The 19,872-nt window shown below is 45.5% G+C and overlaps 1 long non-coding RNA gene and 2 pseudogenes across 4 annotated transcripts in view, besides 3 other annotated features; 2 read left to right on the plus strand and 1 right to left on the minus strand.

The window, feature by feature from the left end:
- The window catches only part of PMS2P1 (PMS1 homolog 2, mismatch repair system component pseudogene 1), a 15,668-nt pseudogene extending 2,699 nt beyond the window's left edge, over nucleotides 1-12,969 (minus strand). The window contains exons 1-6 of the transcript NR_003613.1: nucleotides 12,500-12,969; nucleotides 9,104-9,243; nucleotides 7,125-7,211; nucleotides 6,844-6,946; nucleotides 5,498-5,681; nucleotides 2,353-2,441 (exon numbers count right to left, since the gene is read on the minus strand). The product of NR_003613.1 is annotated as a PMS1 homolog 2, mismatch repair system component pseudogene 1 (transcript). The remainder of the gene's footprint in view (nucleotides 1-2,352; nucleotides 2,442-5,497; nucleotides 5,682-6,843; nucleotides 6,947-7,124; nucleotides 7,212-9,103; nucleotides 9,244-12,499) is intronic.
- Nucleotides 11,829-12,707: an enhancer, noted in NCBI's record as "H3K27ac hESC enhancer chr7:99932790-99933668 (GRCh37/hg19 assembly coordinates)". NCBI's record gives its function as "activates a minimal SCP1, AML or CMV promoter by ChIP-STARR-seq in naive H9 embryonic stem cells {active_cell/tissue: H9 hESC(naive)}" and the evidence as "EXISTENCE:reporter gene assay evidence [ECO:0000049][PMID:30033119]".
- Nucleotides 12,396-12,535: an enhancer, noted in NCBI's record as "active region_26354". NCBI's record gives its function as "activates an Ori minimal core promoter by ATAC-STARR-seq in GM12878 lymphoblastoid cells {active_cell/tissue: GM12878}" and the evidence as "EXISTENCE:reporter gene assay evidence [ECO:0000049][PMID:35858748]".
- Nucleotides 12,727-19,872, plus strand: part of STAG3L5P-PVRIG2P-PILRB (STAG3L5P-PVRIG2P-PILRB readthrough) — a 31,767-nt gene continuing 24,621 nt past the window's right edge. For both annotated transcript variants that reach the window (NR_036570.1, NR_036569.1), the window contains exons 1-3: nucleotides 12,727-12,999; nucleotides 14,841-14,926; nucleotides 15,435-15,551. This is a non-coding gene — a long non-coding RNA (STAG3L5P-PVRIG2P-PILRB readthrough). The remainder of the gene's footprint in view (nucleotides 13,000-14,840; nucleotides 14,927-15,434; nucleotides 15,552-19,872) is intronic.
- On the plus strand, nucleotides 12,741-17,990 carry STAG3L5P (STAG3 cohesin complex component like 5, pseudogene; annotated as a pseudogene). The gene is made up of 4 exons (NR_103720.1): nucleotides 12,741-12,882; nucleotides 14,841-14,926; nucleotides 15,435-15,551; nucleotides 17,607-17,990. The product of NR_103720.1 is annotated as an STAG3 cohesin complex component like 5, pseudogene (transcript).
- Nucleotides 13,026-13,095: a silencer, noted in NCBI's record as "silent region_18430". NCBI's record gives its function as "represses an Ori minimal core promoter by ATAC-STARR-seq in GM12878 lymphoblastoid cells {active_cell/tissue: GM12878}" and the evidence as "EXISTENCE:reporter gene assay evidence [ECO:0000049][PMID:35858748]".

Here is a 19,872-nt window from a genome sequence, read left to right on the forward strand (position 1 = left end):
GAGGCAGGAGAATGGTGTGAACCCAGGAGGTGGAGCCTGCAGTGAGCTGAGATCGCGCCACTGCACTCCAGCCTGGGTGACAGAGCGAGACTCCATCACAAAAAAAAAAAGAAAAAAAAGAAAAAAAGAAAGTTCCTGCAACAGTTCAAGCTGTGAAAGACAGGCGCTCTGCCATGCAATTCTTTGTGATTTTTCTTTTTTATTTTTGGAGTCGGGGTCTTGTGCTGTCACCCAGACTGGGGTGCAGTGGTGCGGTCACAGCTCACTGCGGGCTCAGACTGAAGCTCAAGCGATCTTCTTATCTTGCCTTTCTAATTGCTGGGATTATAAGCATGAGCCACTGCACCTGGCCTGTGTGACGTAATTCTGATGTCAACTCCCTGATGTTACATCAAATGCTACAGGTTAAGGCCACCAGCCCCCGCTAGGCTGCCCTCGCTTCAGATGCAGCTGCAAGCTTGGGTGTCCACAGACTGCATGTACTTCTCACCAACTGGCTGCAAATTTGGAGGTTCCCACCACGTCCTCAGGTTTGATAATTCACTATAACAACCCACAGAACTCTGAAAAGCATGATACTTTCTCTTTCTTTATTTGAGACAGAGTCTTGCTCTGTCGCCCAGGCTGGAGTGCAGCGGCCACCATGCTTGGCTAATTTTAGTATTTGTATTAGAGACAGGGTTTCGCCATGTTGGCCAGGCTGGTCTTGAACTCCTGACCTCAGGTGATCCGCCCACCTTGGCCTCCCAAAGTGCTGGGATTACAGGCATAGCCACCGTGCCTGGCTGACTTCTAGAGTTTCAATAACAGAGATGTGGTTCAAGAAGAAAAGGGAGACATGTTTTGTAGACAGCAGGAGCTTCATGAAAAGAAGCCAATGAAGGGCAGGATGTGTAGCTGTCTACCTACAGGAAACCAGCCAGGAGCCTCCCCGCAGGGAGTTCAGCACAGACGGCCGGGAAAATCTGCATTAACCTGAGCTCTGGACCTAAGAGAGGACAAGGCCTTGACTGTTTCTACAGACTCACAAGACGCAATCTCTGCGGTCCATGCCCGTGGTGTGATCTGGGAAACAGGGGGCCTTCTAAATGCCAACAACAAGGAAATCAAATGCGCAACAGACAGAAATACCGGCATTGACGCGGGCCATGGAGAGGCCTAAACAGATGACTGCAGTCCACTGCCAAGGTCATCAAAGGGGTGACTCTGAAATAAGAAATTTCAGACGCCACGGCCCAAATAGCTGCACGAGGTGGGGAAGTCCTCCACATGCCTCTGCTTCCTTCAGTACCTCTTCATGAAATAAGCGGAGGTACTTCCCTGGGGAATTTCCTTTCTCTTTCTTTCTTTCGAGACAGAGTCTTGCTCTGTCGCCCAGGCTAGAGTGCAGTGGCGCGATCTCGGCTCACTGCAACCTCTCCCTCCCGGGTTTTGGCAATTCTTCTGTCTCAGACTTCTGAGTAGCTGAGATTACAGGTGTGTGCCACCATGCCCAGCTAATATTTGTATTTTTACTCGAGACAGGGTTTCACCATCTAGGCCAGGCTGGTCTTGAACTCCTGACCTCATGATCCACCCGTCTTGGCCTCCCAAAGTCCTGGGATTACAGGCACGAGCCACCGCACCCAGACTTCTTTATTTTTTGAGATGAAGTTTCGCTCTTGTTGCCCAGGCTGGAGTGCAATGGCGAGATCTCAGCTCACTGCCACCTCCACCTCCCAGGTTCAAGTGATTATCCTGCCTCAGCCTCCCGAGTAGCTGGGATTACAGGCACCCAACACCAAACCCAGCTAACTTTTTGTATTTTTAGTAGAGATGGAATGTCACCATGTTGGCCAGGATGGTCTTGAACCCCTGACCTCTAATGATCTACCCGAATTGGTCTCCCAAAATGCTGGGATTACAGGCGTGAGCCACTGTGCCCAGCCCCTCCCATACCTCTTTTGGCCAAGGCAGTACAATTCAGAGAATCTTGCCAGGGAAGACTGGTAAATGGACGTCAACATGATGCCTATGGCTCCTGGTGGATTTAGATACCTCCTGGTGCTTACTGATACCTTTACCAGTTACATGGGGGCTTTTCCATGCCAGACTGAAAATGCAGGAGATCACTGATCAACCTTCAACTATTTACTAGCAGAACACTGAGGGGACTCTGCAGTCACCAATATCTCCTATTGCACTTGGATAAACACCTCCCGGGAAATAGAGATGAATAGAAAGGAAATAGTCAAACAAGCAGAATGGCTACATTCCTTCAACCAGAAGGGTCCATTAGTCTGTTTTCACACTGCTATAAAGAACTACTGGAAACTGGGGAATTTATGAAGAAAACAGGTTTAATTGACTCACAGTTCTGCAGGCTGTACAGGAAGCATGGCTGGGGAGGCCTCAGGAAACTGACAATCACGGCAGAAGGCGAAGGGGAAGCAGGCACGTTTCTGGCCATGGTGGAGCAGGAGAGACAGAGAGAGTGAAGCGGGAGGTGGTGCATGCTTCTAAACAACCAGATCCCATGAGCGCTCACTCACTATCATGAGAACAGCAAGGGGGACGTCAGCCGCCATGAGCCAATCACCTCCTACCAGGTCCCTCCCTCAACACTGGGAATTGCAATTTGACATGAGATTTGGGTGGGGATACGGAGCTGAACCATATCAAGGGTAGTACAACCACTGAGATTGATTGACTGAGATGGAGTCCCGCTCTGTTACCTAGGCTGGAGTGCAGTGGCACAATCTCGGCTCACTGCAACCTCCGCCTCCCAGGTTCAAGCAATTCTCCTGCCTCAGCCTCCCTAGTAGCTGGGACTACAGCACACGCCACCACACCTGGCTAATTTTTGTATTTTCAGTAGAGACGGGGTTTCACCATGTTTGCCAGGCTGGTCTTGAACTCCTGACCTCGTGATCACCCTGCCTCGGCTCTTCTTTTGCTGGAATTACAGGCGTGAGCCACCGCACCTGGCCAACCACTGAGATTTAGAAGGCAGTCGAGTCCACTATACCACACCTCACCTGGTTTCTTCCTCTGTTGGGGCGCCTCGTGGCCACTGTTCTGTTACTTTTTGGTCCTATTTATTTAAATGGATGGTGAGCTGTTTGTCCTCCAGGATCCAACACTTCCACCTTCAGCTTGTATTACAACAATACCAGCCTTTCAAGCTACTCCAGGTGACCCCAGAACTCATTTGAACTCAGAAGCCCAAGAGTTTCATTCCTCTCACTTTAGGGGACTAAGTGCCCCTAGTCAGCATGAAGTCGATACAGAAGCATGACCTCCATCCCTAATCCCTCAAGAATGAGGAGTGGAAGGTGTCGGCAGGAGGGTGGGACGCGGTTTGTAAATCTGTAACTGCATCAGACCAAATCTAGTTCAACTTTTTTTTTTTTTTTTTTTGATGGAGTTTCGCTCTTGTCACCCAGGCTGGAGTGCAATGGCACGATCTCAGCTCACTGCAACCTCCACGTCCTAGGTTCAAGCATTCTGCTGCCTCAGCCTCTGGGGTAGCTGGGATTACAAGGGTGCGCCACCACGCCTGGCTAATATTTATATTTTTAGTAGAGACGGGGTTTCACCATTTTGGCCAGGCTGGTCTTGAACTCCTCGACCTCAGGTGATCCACCTGCCTTGGCCTCCCAAAGTGCTGGGATTACAGGCGTGAGTCACCGCACCCGAATCAGTTCAACTTTTATGTAATGAAGTTGTCAGTTGTTTTTCAATTGCCATCGACCCGCAGGTTGAAGGTCATGTACCCTGTGCATGCCCAGGTTAACCAAGCGTGCCACCGTGGAGTGGAACCTAAGAGCTCAGCCTGAAGAGCTCGGACCGATTTAAGAACCAGACACCCCAAGGCAGGAGCCAGGATCCAATCAGATTGAGTTTTGGCGTCACCCCATGGCAGGATCCAGTCAGATCACATCTCCCAGCATTACTTTATTGCAAGATCCAATCAAATCACACCTCATTACCCTACGCTTATAAAACCTGACATAGCCCCGAGCTGTGTAAGGGAGATTTGAGTACTTCCTCCTGTGTTCTTGCTGGCTGACTTACAAAAAAGCTTTAAAAAAAAAGCCGGGCGTGGTGGCTCACGCCTGTAATCCCAGCACTTTGGGAGGCTGAGGTGGGCAGATCACTTGAGGTCAGGGGTGCAAGACCAGCCTGGCCAACATGGTGAAACCCCATCTCTACTAAAAATACAAAAATTAGCTGGGTGTGGTGACACACACCTATAATCCCAGCTACTCGGGAGGCTGAGGTAGGAGAATCACTTGAACCCAGGAGGCGGAGGTTGCAGTGAGCCAAGATCACACCACTGCACTCCAGCCTGGGCGACAGAGTGAGAAGACTCCGTCTAAAAAAAAAAAGTTAAAATTAGCACCGAATGCTTTACAAGTAAAAAAAGTTTTTAGCTGCATATGTTTAAGTAACTTTTTAGATTATAAGAAATATGCATGCAAAATGGAAAGGCACAAAGAAGAGAGCAAAAAGTGCATGAGATCTCACATCCAAGGATAACCGCTGAGAACATGGAAGTGCTGACTCTTCCAGTCTTTATACTATACACATTTAGGCCTGTTGTTTTGTTTTCATAAAACTGTAATCATATAATATAGACAGTTTTATAATCTGCTTTTTAAACACAACAATTATATAACATTTAGCTGTTTCATTTGCATTCAAATTCATAAGGGTTCCAGTAACTCATTTATCAGAAAACCAAGAGAAATATTCTCATAAAAATATAAGTACATAAGGTCAGGCATGGTGGCTCACACCTGTAATCCCAGCACTTTGAGAGGCCGAGGTGGGCGGATCACCTGAGGGCAGGAATTCAAGACCAGCCTGGCCAGCCTGGACAACATGGTGGAACCCCGTCTCCACTGAAAATACAAAAATTAGCTGGGCGTGGTGGCGCGTGCCTGTAATGGTAGCTACTCAGAAGGCTGAAGCAGGAGAATCGCTTGAACTTGGCAGGTGGAGGTTGCAGTGAACTGAGATCGCGCCACTGCACTGCAACCAGGGCACCAAAGTGAGACTCCATCTCAAAAAAAGATAAAAATAAAAAATAAAAAAAATGTATATATATGTATATATATTTTTCCAGACAGGGTCTTACTCTGTCTCACAGTCTGAAGTGCAGTGACGCAATCATAGCTCACTGCAGTCTCAAGTTCCCGGGCTCAAGTGATCCTCCCACTTCAGCCTCCCAAGTAGCTGGAACTACAGGTGCATGCCACCATGCCCAGTCAATTTTTTTTTTAATTTTTCATAGAGACAGAGTCTCACTATGTTTCCCAGTCCTAATAAACACTATGTGATAAAAAGAAAAAAGTAAATCATTCTGAAGTTAAGTCTTTAATGAGAAATGCAAATAAAGCATTTCTCAATAAATTAGGGGAAGGGAATCAACTGAAGAATAAACATCTTTAGTAAATCTTTTGCTCATGTGCATTAACCAATATTCTTGAAAACCAGGATTAATTTACTGTACCTTCTTAATATTCCTTTGAAATTCTTTATGGTGCACAGGTAGCGTAGAAAATAACTGCTTCACACTGACTGTCATCCCTCTGGGGTGGGGGTAGGGGGTTTTCTGGATGATTTTCCCATAGTGATCAAACACCAGTCGAGTCCCAACCTTCGCCGATACATGGCAGGTAGAAATGGTGACATCACTGTGAGAGAATACCAGGCATGGTGTGTTCAGTGAGAGATCCGTGATGTTGGGCACTGACTACTCTTTTCTTCACTTGCTTTTCTCTCAAAATTTTCTTAAAAAGCTGATGATCCCTCTGAGATAACCGAGATCTAAACGGTTGAGGAGTCATCATAAAATCTAAGGTCTGGCATCTAAAAGACAGTGAGACAGAGAGCACTAAACATGCTTTGTTTTGATAAAAGCTTTGACTTCATTTTTCAGGTTGAATTGCAAAACCATAAATGATCTCAAGATTTATTGATTCTCAAATAGAGATTTGTTTTGTTATTACTCTTCAAACAAAATTTTTTAAAAGAATTTTTTTAAAGAATTTTTAAAAATTTAAAAAAATTTTTTTAAAGAATCCAAAAGATATTATAATTAAAATGTATATGTAGGGCAGGGTGTGGTGGCTCGTGCCTGTAATTCCAGCACTTTGGGAGGCCAAGGAGGGCAGATCACTTGAGGCCTGGAGTTCCAGGCCAGCCTGGGCAACATGGCAAAACCCCATCTCTACTAAAAATACAAAAATTAGCCAGGAGTGGTGGTGCACGCTATAGTCCCAGCTCTTCAGGAGGCTGAGGCATGAAAGTCACTTGAACCTGGGAGGCAGAGACTGCAGTGAGCTGAGACTGTGCCACTGCACTCCAGCCTGGGTGACAGAGTGTGACTCTGTCTAAAAAAAAAAAAAAAAAAAAAAAAATATATATATATATATATATATATATATATATATATATGTATATATATGTGTGTGTGTGTGTGTGCATATAATTATTTATAAAAATTTAGTATCTGTGCTATAATTAAATAGTGCTTTGGTGAAATGTTTCCCTAAAAATTGATAATGAAAACCAATGGTAACTATCATTTATTATCTATATGTTATGTTCAAATTGAGAAGTTACTGTTTTAATAAGGGTAACCAATTTTTTTAACAATACTATTTGCTTCATTTCATTCATTTATTGCTCACATTTCAGAAGTACTAGGACTTAGATTGGCAGTGAGACAAAACAGAATTCAGAAGCTGGAAGCTGAGATATTGAGACAGAAAACTGTAAATAATAATGATTCCAATTAATTTTCAGAGAGGTTTTTCTAAGGGGTCAAGTGAATGGATAAAAATATTTTATCACCTCAGTGCACAAAGTGAGCTCAGAGCTTCCCCCCGAAAGCCAAAAGTTTCAACCTGAGGTAGGTCGGCAAACTCTTGAATCTTAGATGTGTGATGTTTCAGAGCTGAAAGAGAGTATAAAGTAAGGACTAAGATATCTTAAGTGCTATAACAACAAATATACATGATATCTAGTAACTGGCTTTAAAAAACTGTTTTTGTGTTTCCCAAGACAGTGTTACTCAAAATTCTAAGACATGTGGCCCAATTATTTTATAATAGGATTAGAAAAAGTTAACTTACTTAAGCCTTCGAAGTTTTCTTCTTCTACCCCACATCCATTGCCTGAAACTTCAATGAGATCCACTCCATAGTCCTTAAGCTTTAGATCTAGAAAGTTTAAAATATTTATATATTTATTAAAAATGGACCCATGCTATCAGTTTTTATATTGATATTATTTATAACGTGCAAATTTAAGTGTCGTAACTAGACCTTTAGTTAAACATACTAGTGTCATTTTGTATATTTCATTTTTATAAAGTTCTTTCTGGCTATTTACTAGCCCAGATTAAATAGTTTAGCATTTTCTTTCTTTCCTCTTTTTTTTTTTTTCCTTATGCTAGTCAAGTGAAGCAGTTGGAGTGGAGAAGGAACAAAAAAATCTGTAACTGGTTGTGATCAATTAGTTGTAAAGACCGTTGCACTTTGACCAGCCTTTTCCTTTGAAAGAAATAATTTTAACATACCCAGTAAGGAGAACGGGGGCCAGGCGCGGTGGTTCATGCCTGTAATCCCAGCACTTTGGGAGACCAAAGCGAGCGGATCACCTGAGGTCAGTAGTTCGAGACCAGCCTGACCAACATGGAGAAACTCTATCTCTACTAAAAATACAAAATTAGCCAGGTGTGGTGGTGCATGCCTGTAATCCCAGCTACTGGTGAGGCTGAGGCAGGAGAATCGCTTGAACCTGGGAGGCGGAGGTTGCAGTGAGTTGAGATCGTGCCATTGCACCGCAGCCTCGGCAACAAGAGCAAAACTCCATCTCAAAAAAAAAAAAAAGAAAAAAAACAGAACTGGTTCTGGAATCAGACTTCCTAGATTCTATTTTATTAGCTTTATAATCTCCAAAAAAGGTAATTTACTGTCCCTTAATTTCCTCAACTGTAAAATGGAGGTAATAAGTTCTATCTCATAAAGTTATTTGGCAGATTAATAATTTTTTGTCTTTTTATTTTGTCATTTTCTTTTTTTTCTTTCCTTTTTTTTTTTTTTTAATTTTTTGAGATTGACTTTTGCTCTTGTCACCCAGGCTGGAATGCAGTGGCACAATCGATCTTGGCTCACTGCAACCTCCACCTCCCAGGTTTAAGCAATTCTCCTCCCTCAGCCTTCTGAGGAGCTGAGATTACAGCCATGCACCATCACATCTGGCTAATTTTTCTATTTTTAGTAGAGACAGGGTTTTACCACGTTGGTTAGGCTGGTCTTGAACTCCTGACCTCAAAGCATCAGCCCCCCTCAGCCTCCCAAAGTGCTGGGATTACAGATGTGAGCCACTACTCCAGGATTTATTTTATTTTATTTTATTTTATTTTATTGTTTTGAGACGGAGTCTTGCTCTGTCCCCAGGCTGCCGTGCAGTGGCACAATCTCGGTTCACTGCAACCTCCACCTCCCAGGTTTAAACAATTCTCATTCCTGAGCCTCCCCAGTAGCTGGGATTACAGGCTTCTGCCACCAGGTCTGGCTAATTTTTGTATTTTTAGTAGAGACAGAGTTTCACCATTTTGGACAGGCTGGTCTCGAATTCCTGACCTCAGGTATCCACCCGCCTTGGCCTCCCAAAGTGCTGGGATTACAGGCATGAGCCACCACACCCGGCCTACTTTATTTTTTAATAGAGACGAGGTCTCACCATGTTGGCCAGGTTGGTCTTGAACTCTTGGCTTCAAGCAATCCCCCCACCTCAGCCTCTCAAAGGGCTAGGATTACAGGCGTGAAACACCACGCCCAGCTATTCTGCAAATTAAATGAGATATTTCTGTGCAACTCTTAGCATAACACCTGCCTGGCGCACCATAAGAACACAATAAAAGCTGTTGTTATTATTATTACTACCTAGCTAAGTACTAGGCACATAATAGGTGCTAACTTTAACTTAAAAATAATAATTTATTACTACATCAACACTTGATAGTCTTATTTCAATAACAAATGTTTCTTGACTACAACAACATTCACTGATCATTTCTTGTGGCTTAAAACTCTCCCAAACTTACCAATATTAGTGGCACCAGCATCCAGACTGTTTTCTACTAACTCCTTCACCGCAGTGCTTAGACTCGGTACCACCGGCCCAGAGCAAATCTGATGGACTGACTTCCGATCAATAGGTTTGATGGCCTTAGCAGGTTCTGTACTAAAGAAATCAGTTACAAGAAACAAAGCAAGTATTCAGCTATATATTTTCATCCTGATTTTAACTGTGGGAAATGACTCAACACTGCAAATAGTTTACGGGTCTAATCTATTCATTTATTATATTAACAAATACATTTATTATATCCAGAAATGGAAACATTGTTTTACAATCCTTAAACAAGTACCCAAAATACTTCTGGATAGACACTTCAAATTCAACAGATCCTTACTACCTAGTATCCACATGGAGAAAACATACATTGTATCTCTCAAATTACCAAAATCTTTGGCAATAATGGTGTCTTCTTTCTTGAAAACTGAAAGCATGGCCGGTGCGGTGGCTCATGCCTGTAATCCCAGCAATTTGGGACACAGAGGCAGGCGGATCACTTGAGATCAGGAGTTTGAGACCAGCCTGGCCAACATCGTGAAACCCTGTCTCTACCAAAAATATAAAAAATTAGCCAGGCATGGTGGTGGGCGCCTGTAATGCCAGCTACTTGGGAGGCTGGGGCAGGAGAATCGCTTAAACCTGGGAGGCGGAGGTTGCAGTGAGCTGAGATTGCAGCATTGCACCCCAGGCTGGGCAATGAGCAAAAAAAAAAGTAAAAGCAACATAATTTCCCACATAATTAGAAAAACCAACAGTATGCTGGGAAATACACAATGTTTTCAGTCAAAATCATCTCAGAAATTGGATACCAGTTATATAACTATTCCTTATACACAGTTGCCTTTGATACCCTACTCCAGATTGAAGCTGCCAGCTGCTGTCTTAGCAAAGACCCTCAAAGTTCTTGCTGTACTTGCTTTAAGAGTTTTTTTTTGTTGTTTTTTGTTTTTTTTTTTTTGAGACGGAGTCTTGCTCTGTCGCCCTGTCGCCCAGGCTGGAGTGTAGTGGCACGATCTTGGCTCACTGCAAGCTCTGCCTCCCGGGTTCACGCCATTCTCCTGCCTCAGCCTCCTGAGTGGCTGGGACTACAGGCGCCCACCACCATGCCCAGCTAATTTTTTGTATTTTTAGTAGAGACAGGGTTTCACCGTTTTAGCCAGGATGGTCTCGATCTCCTGACTTCGTGATCCGCCTGCCTCAGCCTCCCAAAGTGCTGGGATTACAGGCGTTAGCCACCACGCCCGGCCCGCTTTAAGAGTTTTATAACGGTTTCATTTCCCCTTATTCCCTGCTCCAACCCATCCTCCACTCTATCACCAGAGCTATTTTTGAAATCACGAATCTGGTCAAATAATTTTTCTGCTTGAAAAATTACTAGTGCCCCACTTCCTACTATATGAAACTTAAAATCTAGTCATCACTGGGCCCCAAACTACCTTCTTTTCAGAATCTCTCTAATCCTTTCCCTTCATCAAGTCCCCTACATTATTATTACTATTATTATTATTTGAGACAGAGTCTCACCCTCTCACCTGGGCTAGAGTGCAATGGCATGATCTCGGCTCACTGCAACCTCCACCTCCCAAGTTCAAGTGATTCTCCTGTCTCAGCCTCCCAAGTTGCTGGGATTATAGGCACCCACCATTACACTCAGCTAATTTTTGTGTTTTTAATAGAGATGGGGTTTCACCATGTTGGCCAGGCTGGTTTCTAACTCCTGACCTCAGGTGATCTGCCCGCCTTGGCCTTCCAAAGCACTAGGATTACAGGTGTGAGCCACCGCAACTGGCCGTCCCCTATATTGCAGCACAGTGAACAACTGTTTCCTGAACATCACAAGCTCTTTTAAACACTACAGTGTATAAGCAGGTCTCTGTCTAAACTGCTCTCCTCTTGCTCCTCTGCCCAACCAATGTCTGCTCATCCAAAGAATGTATCCCGTGTGTTCACTAACTTAGCAAGTTCCAGTAAACAGTTTAATTGATCACTCGTTAAGAGAAGGCAGGAAACCTCCATGAAAAGAGAAATCAGTGGGTATTTCCTACAGCATTTAACACATTGTAGGCCTTAAATAAACCCTTGTGAAATAAACAAACCTCTTTACTCTTCATTCTATGTTGCTAAGAATCTCACCAAAGTCTGTCTACCATGTGAAACTGCAGATGACCTCACAGAAAATGGAAAGAAGTATCTCTAAAAATAAGTTTATTTGGCAACACACTACAGGCTACAGGTCCAGTTCTGATTTTTTTTCTTTTTTTTTTTTGAGATGGAGTCTTGCTGTGTCACCCAGGCTAGACTGCAGTGGTGCAATCTCAGCTCACTGCAACCTCTGTCTCCTGGGTTCCAGCGATTCTCCTGCCTCAGCCTCCCAAGTAGCTAGGATTACAGGCGCCTGCCACCACGCCCAGCTAATTTTTGTATTTTTAGTAGAAATGGGATTTCACCATGTTGGCCAGGCTGGTCGTGAACTCCTGACCTCATGATCCACTTGCCTTGGCCTCCCAAAGTGATGGGATTATAGGTGTGAGCCACCGCACCTGGTCCACTTCAGATATTTAGATACAGACGGCAAATTTATTTAAATGTCTCAATACATTTAAATGTAGTTACCTAAATATATCTAATATATTTAAATGCAGAGAGCAAATTTGCGTTTACAAATCTGACATGGAATTCAACTGTGCTAGCCAAGATTCGGTGTAGCTTACTAGCCAGAAATCACATACCCTAACAGGTAAAAATGCATTGCATTTTTTAAAACTGCGCAGCTATGCAAATTAGGATGTGTCTGGACGCTCTACTGTCCCCAAAATAACCTCAATTTTTTTTTAAAGGCCAGGCACAGTGCATTACGCCTGTAATTCCAGCGCTTTGGGGGGCCAAGGCGGGCGGACTGCTTGAGCTCCGGAGTTCCAGACCAGCTTGGGCAACATAGCTAAATCCCCGTCTCTACAAAAAAATAAAGTAAAAATTAAAAATAAAATAATATAAAAATAAAAATAAAAGGGGAGAGAGAACAGGTAGGAAGGAAATGCATTCAGTCTATAGGGATTTCACGTTCCGGCTTCAAGTCCACGGCCCTGTGATGGGATGTGGGCAGGGCCTGAGACAGGCCGAACCCAACTCTTCACAGGGCCGAATTCTTTGCCCGCAGCCCAGCACCCCGAAGGAGCTTGCCTCGGCTTCAAGGCGCACCTAATGGGCACCGGATCGCTGGGGCGCTGAGGATGCCGCTCCGGGGCCTCCACGAGGCGGCCTCGCCACGCGCCTCGGCCATGTTCCCCCCATTTCCAGGGAGGTTGGACGCCGTGGTTCTTAAAGAGGGCGCGCGAGAGGGGCGACCGCGAGCCCAGCTCACCTCGAGCTCTCAGCTCGCTCCAAGGATGCAACACCGGATCCGCCTCGGGGACTGGGAAAGTTCCCTCCACGGCTCCCACAGGCGCCCCGCCTCCTGGGCTCCCAACGGCTGCTTTCGACGTTGTGCTCCACCCTTTCCGGGCGGGGCGGAAAAAATACTTCCCGTCTCTCCTTTTCGCCTAGTGGCTCTGTCAAAGGTCGAGTCCGTGACGTCAAAGAGCCTGGACCAATCAGAGCACACCGGACTGCGTTTTTTCCGAACGCCAGCAGCAGGGTCAGAAGGGAGGTAGTCGCCCTCCGTCGTGGCCTGGCGTGGATTCCGAGCGTTGGTGTCTGGCGGTTTCCGACCGTTGGTGTCTGGCACGCGCCACCCCGATGTACCAGGTAAAGCCCTATCACGGGGTCGGCGCCCCTCTCCGTGTGGAGCCCACCTGCATGTACTGGCTCCCCAACATGCACGGCAGGAGCGGCGGCCCAGCACTCGGCACTGGCCACTTGCAGGTAGGAGCGCGGGGCCCCCCCGCCCACTGCGCACGCGCGGCGGCCCGTTGCTGGCCCAGGTGCCCCTAGGCCGGATAGAGTGCGTCCCAACCGATTCGCGGCCCCACCCCGGCATCTGTGCCGGCCGGCCAGGGGGTCACCCAGATTTTTATGTTTTAAAAGATTTATTCAGGCCGGGCGCCGTGGCTCACGCCTGTAATCCCGGCACTTTGGGAGGCCGAGGCGGGCGGATCACCTGAGATCAAGAGTTCGAGACCAGTCTGGCCAACATGGTGAAACCTCGTCTCTACTAAAAATGCAAAAATTAGCCGGGCATGTGTCGGGCGCCTGTAATCCCAGCTACTCGGGAGGCTGAGGCAGGAGAATGGTTTGAACCCTGGAGGCGGAGCTTGCAGTGAGCTGAGATCGAGCCATTGCACTCGAGCCTGGGCAGCAAGAGTGAAACTCCGTCTCAAAAAAAAAATTATTATATATATATATATTTTTATATATGTTAAATATACCTTTATTATGCGTATTATACATATTGTATATTATGTGTAATATATAACATGATATATTATAAAATATATATTATATATATATATATCTTTCCTGGTCGAGCGCGGTGGTTCACGCCTGGAATCTCAGCGCTTTGGGAGACCGAAGCGGGAGGATTGCTTGAGCCCGGAGAGTTTGAGACCACCCTGAGCAACATAGCAAGACCCTTGTCTCTATGTTTTTTTTTTTTTTTGAGTTGGAGTCTTGCTCTGTCGCCCAGGCTGGAATGCAGTGGCCTGATCTCGGCTCACTGCAAGCTCCACCTCCCGGGTTCACGCCATTCTCCTGCCTCAGCCTCCCCAGTAGATGGGACTACAGGCGCCCGCCACCATGCCTGGCTAACTTTTTTTTGTATTTTTAGTAGAGACATGGTTTCACCGTGTTAGCCAGGATGGTCTCGATCTCCTGACCTCGTGATTCGCCTGCCTCGGCCTCCCAAATTGCTGGGATTACAGGCGTGAGCCACCACGCCCAGCTGCCTTGTCTCTATTTTTTAAATGTTTTAATTAAAATAAAAATCTATCCATATTTTTTCTTTTTTTTTGCGTATGGCTGCTTAAACATTTTAGTTCAGAATTCTATCCTCTGAAAAGTGAGTAGCACATAAATGCTCATTTTGAGGAATTACAAAGCGAACCCCAGGGTCACCACCTCCCAGGTTGACACACATTGTGACCGCTCCATTCTTTCCACTTAAACCTTCCCCACCAACATCCCAGGGCCCGATTTTTATGGTAATTATGTCCTGCTTGTCTCTATTATTTTGTCAGCTAAGTATCCCTAAACAATATGGTCTGGTTTTTTGTTTGTTTTTGTTTGTTTGTTTTTTTCAGACGGAGTTTCACTCTGTCACCCAGGCTGGAGTGCAGTGGCATGATCTCGGCTCACTGCCACCTTGGCCTCCTGGGTTCAAGGAATTCTCAGGCCTCAGCCTCATGAGTAGCTGAGATTACAGGCGCTGTCCACTGCACCTGGCTAATTTTTGTATTTTTAGTAGAGACGGGGTTTTGCCATGTTGACCAGGCTGGTCTTGAACTCCTGACCTCAGGCGATCCGCCCGCCTTGAACTCCCAAAGTGCTGGGATTACAGGTGTGAGCCACCGTGCCCGGCACCTAAACAACATAGTTTTGATATAGGTAAGCATACAGCATATATTTTGATGTATTTCAGGTAATTTAGTCTAAGAACAGGAAAGGACAGAAAATGAACACAATTTGTAGTTCTTTGTTGTTAACAAACTAAGAATACTTTGCTTAAATAAGTAGCAATGAGAATGTAACTCAGTAATTCATACAAATAGACAAGAAGACAAGAAAATGATTTGAGGACAGCTTCAATCGCGGTGTGAAGAAGAAAGCAACAAAACGACCACTGAAAACAATGCCGGTGAGTCAGCCAGTTTTGTTTTTGAATCTTGTCAGGGAAGCAGCCCAGCTATTCGGGAGGCTGAGACAGGAGAATGGCACGAACCCCGGGGGCAGAGCTGGCAGTGAGCCGAGATCACGCCACTGCACGCCAGCCTGGGCGACAGAGCGAGACTCAGTCTCAAAAAAAAGAGAAAACCTAAGAGGTTCAGGTGATATGGTTCAAAAAAGGACAAGATTTACAAAGTATTAAGGGACGGAAATAGGAAGAAGAGAAATTTCGAAGAGAAAAGAAAAGAAAAGGATGTTTGGTTATAGAGATACAGGAAGGGGACTCAAGGAATTTTTTTTTAAAGGGAAAAAAGTTAATAAACTTCATAATATAAAAATCAATTATTTTAGGACTGAGTCTAACTCAGACTCTGCTGTGGAATTGGCAGCGTAAGCCTACTTGTGTGATAATGATGAAACCAAGTGTTAATGTCACTGTTACCTTTTTTTCATATTTCTGATCTTTTTATGTGTATCAGGTGGCAAAACATCCAAAGAAAGGGTCCCAAGTGGTACATCGTCATAGCTGGAAACAGTCAGAGCCACCAGCCAATGATCTTTTCAATGCTGCGAAAGCTGCCAAAAGTGACATGCAGGTAAAGCAGTGTCTTACCTCTGTTGATACCATCTCACTTTTTGTAAGGTGGTAAGGACAAGTGTCTACAAACTTGATTTGATGTGAACATTTTAGTGAGTGTAACATATCAAGAAAGATAAGATTATGGGGTGAATCCTTGGAGTGATAGAAGGGTAACCTTGAATAAGAGAGCATGTTCTTTTTTTTTTTTTTTTGAGACAGAGTCTCTTTCTGTTGCCCAGGCTGGAGTGCAGTGGCACAGTCTCAGCTCACTGCAGCCTCTGCCTCCTGGGTTCAAGCGATTCTTATGCCTCAGCCTCCCAAGTAGCTGGGCTTACAGGCATGTGCCACCATGCCTAGCTAATTTCTGTATTTTTAGTAGAGATGGGGTTTCGCCATGTCGGCCAGGCTGGTCTCCAACTCCTGACCTCAGGTGATCCGCCTGCCTCGGCCTCCCAAAGTGCTGGGATTACAGGTGTGAGCCACCGCACCCGGCTTCGAGAGAGCGTTTCTTTTCTTAAAGCGTGTTCTTTTCTTAAAGGTATCACAGGAGTGATTATGCCTTTGTTGATTGATGGAGCAGATGGGGAGAGGCATTGCATGACATGGGAAGGAAGCTTAGATGTGGGTGGCACCTTGTTCACCCATGTTATTTTTTAGCTCCATCTTGACAATTATACTTAATTATTTTTCCCTCTCTCTGTTTCTTTTTTTATAATTTTATTGAAGTTCTAATATCTGAAAGTGTACAAAGCGTATATGTAGTTTAAAAAATAAAAATGAGATATCACCCAGATCTCTAGCCCCAGCTCAAGAAATGAAACATTAATAGTGCTGTAGAGATCCTTTGTGTACCTTCTTTCTACCCTACCTCACAGTCCCCTTATTACCCATAGGTAAACACTAGGGTGAATTTTGTGTTAATCTTTGTCATTTCATTATAGTGTTACCACTATGAATGTGTTCTTTAATTATGTAAATGAATCCATTATTCAGGCTTCTGTGATTTAATTATTTCAGTTAACATTGTTTGAGATTTATCCACATTAATGTGTAATTTTATAGTTTCTGGGAAAATATTTAAAATTTTCAAACATACAGAATTTTGCTAGTTATATTTTCGTTATTTGATTTCTAACTTTATTGTGTTGTAGTCAGGGAATGTGGTGTTTGAAATTTATGTAGGGGCTGGGCGCAGTGGCTCACAGCTGTGATCCCAGCACTTGGGGAGGCTGAGGCAGGCAGATCACTTGAGGCCAGGAGTTCGAGACCAGCCTGGCCAACATGGCGAAACCCCATCTCTACTAAAAATACAAAAATTAGCTGCATGTGGTGGCATTTGTCTGTAATCCCAGCCACTTGGGAGGCTGAGGCATGAGAATTGCTTGAACCCAGGAGGTGGAGGTTGCAGTGAGCTGAGATTGTGCCATGGCACTCCAGCCTGGGTAACAGAGTGATACTCTGTCTCAAAAAAAAAAAAAAAAAAAGACATTTATGGAGACTTAGCCTTATGGCCTAGTATTGAGTTGGTACATTCGTTTTATCTTTTCTGTTTCTTTTTCCCCCTTTGCTTACTTTCCTCTGGATTTCTTATCTTCTACAAGGACCTGAGCACATTTTAATTCCAGTTGTCTTTTCCACCTTACATGCAGTTGTACAGTGTGTTAGTTTTTTATTTGAAACGGAGTCTTGCTCTGTCACCAGGCTGGAGTGCAGTGACGCGATCTTGGCTCACTGCACCTCCGCCTCCCGGGTTCAGGCGATTCTCCTGCCTCAGCCTGCCAAGTAGCTGGGACTACAGGCACCCGCCACCATGCTTGGCTAATTTTTGGCCACCATGCCCAGCCTGAATGAACTTTCAAAATTGGTTTTTAAAAGAGGTATGGAGGCCGGGTGCAGTGGCTCACACCTGTAACTCCAGCACTTTGGGAGGCCAAGACGGGCAGATCACTTGAGGTCAGGAGTTCGAGACCAGCCTGGCCAACATGGCGAAACCCCATCTCTACTAAAAATACGAAAAGGTAGCTGGGCGTGGTGGTGCACCTGTGTATTCCTTTCATCTTTCTCATTATAGGATTTCTGACAGGACTCTGGGCCCCTCCCCAGCTCCACTCCCTACCTCAAGAATGTGACCATTTGGAAAAGGCAAAGAGAAAAGGAGCAAAATGAAGCATTCCCCCAGGCTTCAGCCCTGGGCTCTGAGGGGAAAGAGTGGGGCATTGTTTTTCTAACCTAACCTTTCCCTCTGGTGATGTTGGGGTAGAGAAGCCGAGAGACCCTGTCCTCCCTAATGCACTGTGGCCCAGTCCCCTTGCCTTTTTCCTGTTCTGTTTGGAGTGGAGAAGGGCAGCACCTCTGTGTTTAATGGAAGTAGCCCATAGTCTCCTGGATTTTTGGAACATCTTTTTCAGCCTATTTTGTGTCCTAATGATTCACTCAATAAACATGTTTGAATCCACACGTTCCCAAGGTGTGGCTTGAGATCGTTAAACTGATGGAGGTCAGGTTCTTGGTCCGCCTTGTCCCATGGCCCAGTGTATAGGTGTCCCCACACCCCGCAGGTGCTTTGTCTACAGGCTCTCCAGGAAGTATTGCTTAGTAACTGAGAGGCGGGGTGAGGCAGTAGAGATGGGGAGAGTTTGACTGCCTGTGAGTAGTTTATCTAGTGGCCTCAGCCTCTGCAGTAGTAAAAGTTGTGCTGACAGGTGGCAGAGTGGAGCAGGACCTTGTGAAACTACCTGTCTCACCCACGTGAGCCAGGCCAGACCCTGTGTCCTGGCAGCCTTCATCCATGGGTTCTTTCCAAAGGAAATTTTATCCTCTCATCCGAAAGATACCTGTCATAATTTGGAATTTGATCAAATCACAGTATCTGAGAGTTAAAAGGAAACTAAGGAGTTACTCTAAATGTCCAACCCTAAAATCCAAGTGACAATGTCACCTTCACTCTTGCCTTCTCCAGCTAGTTCTTCACCAAATTCTGTCAAGACTTGGTGAAGAAAATTCTCTGGCCTATGTCCTCCACACATTGTCACCATCGTCTCTCACCTAGACTGCCACAGTGCAGCCTCAGGGCCAGCCTCTTGAAACTCAGACAGACTTGTTTGCTCTTGTTTTGCCTTGTGGAGCAGCACAGCACCTCTCTTCTCTCTTGTCCCTCTGACAAGCAGTATTTGAAGACAGATGTTGTCATTTTGTACTTTCACTGTTTTCTTTTGTGGTTTAAGGAATGCTTCAGCCTTTCTCTTTAGATATAATTTCTAGTTCTTCCCATCATGGGCACCTGCTTTAGTGACAGGTTCTCACTGTGGTCTCCTAGGCCAGACACAGCCATCCAGCTAGTGATCTGTGCAGAAGGAGCCGTGACTTCCTGCGATCAGGTCACTCAGCCAAGACCGCCTCGCCCCTTCCATTCTCCCTCCCCTCCCCCACCTGCCCCTCCCAGATGAAAGCTAGAAGAAATTGAGTTGTGAGTCTCCTTTTGGAAAGGTAGCCCTGGGGGAGTCCGAGCTGGGGTGTGGGGGAAGGCTAACTCATTCGGCGATCTTTAGCCTGTATTCAGGTAGAATAGTTCTGGGGAAAGGAGCCTGTTTTGTGGGATGAGGGAACAGAGTGGGAGAACTGAGGAGAAGATGCGGAGGTCTTTAAGAATCCAGGAGGGGAACGATTCCTGAGTTATTTAAATACCAACCAAGCTAAGGGTGCTTCACAAGAGGATAAGAGCAGCTTGGGGGCTTTGCATCAATATGGACACCTGTGTACAGCCAGGCAGCCCAGTGCACTGGGTTGAGTCACAGCCTTAGAATCTGGGAGCTTGACACCATGCTCTCTAAAGCCTTTGACACTGTTTATTGAGAGGCTGGGTCTAGGTTGTCTCCTCTTGAATATGGGCTTCGTGATGCTTGACTAATAGAAGATGGTGGAAATGATGCCATGCTAGTTAGTGGGCCCAGATTTTAAGGAAACTGGCAGTTTCCGTTTCCTGTCTCTTCCTGTACCTGGGTTCACACTGGGAACCCGGTCACCATTCTGTGAGCAAGGCCAGCAGTCAAAGGAAAAGGCCGTGTGTAGGTGTTCTTGCCAGCAGTCCTCACCGAGGTCCCAGCCAACATCCATGTTGGCTGCCAGACTCAGTCAAGACGGGAGTCAGATGATTCCAACCTCCCCTGTTTTTCAGTTTTCCCAGCTGAGGTCCAGACATCAGGGAGCAGAGACAGCCCATCTTTTCTGTGCACTTTGCAAATTCCTGACTGTGGAGTCCATGAGCATAATAAGATGGTGGTTGACAGCACTCAGTCTGGAGGGGTTTGTTACGTAGCCAAAGCAACTGGAACTGGGCC

The sequence above is a fragment of the Homo sapiens genome, chromosome 7 (genome assembly GCF_000001405.40).
Source record: "Homo sapiens chromosome 7, GRCh38.p14 Primary Assembly".
Lineage (NCBI taxonomy): Eukaryota > Metazoa > Chordata > Mammalia > Primates > Hominidae > Homo > Homo sapiens.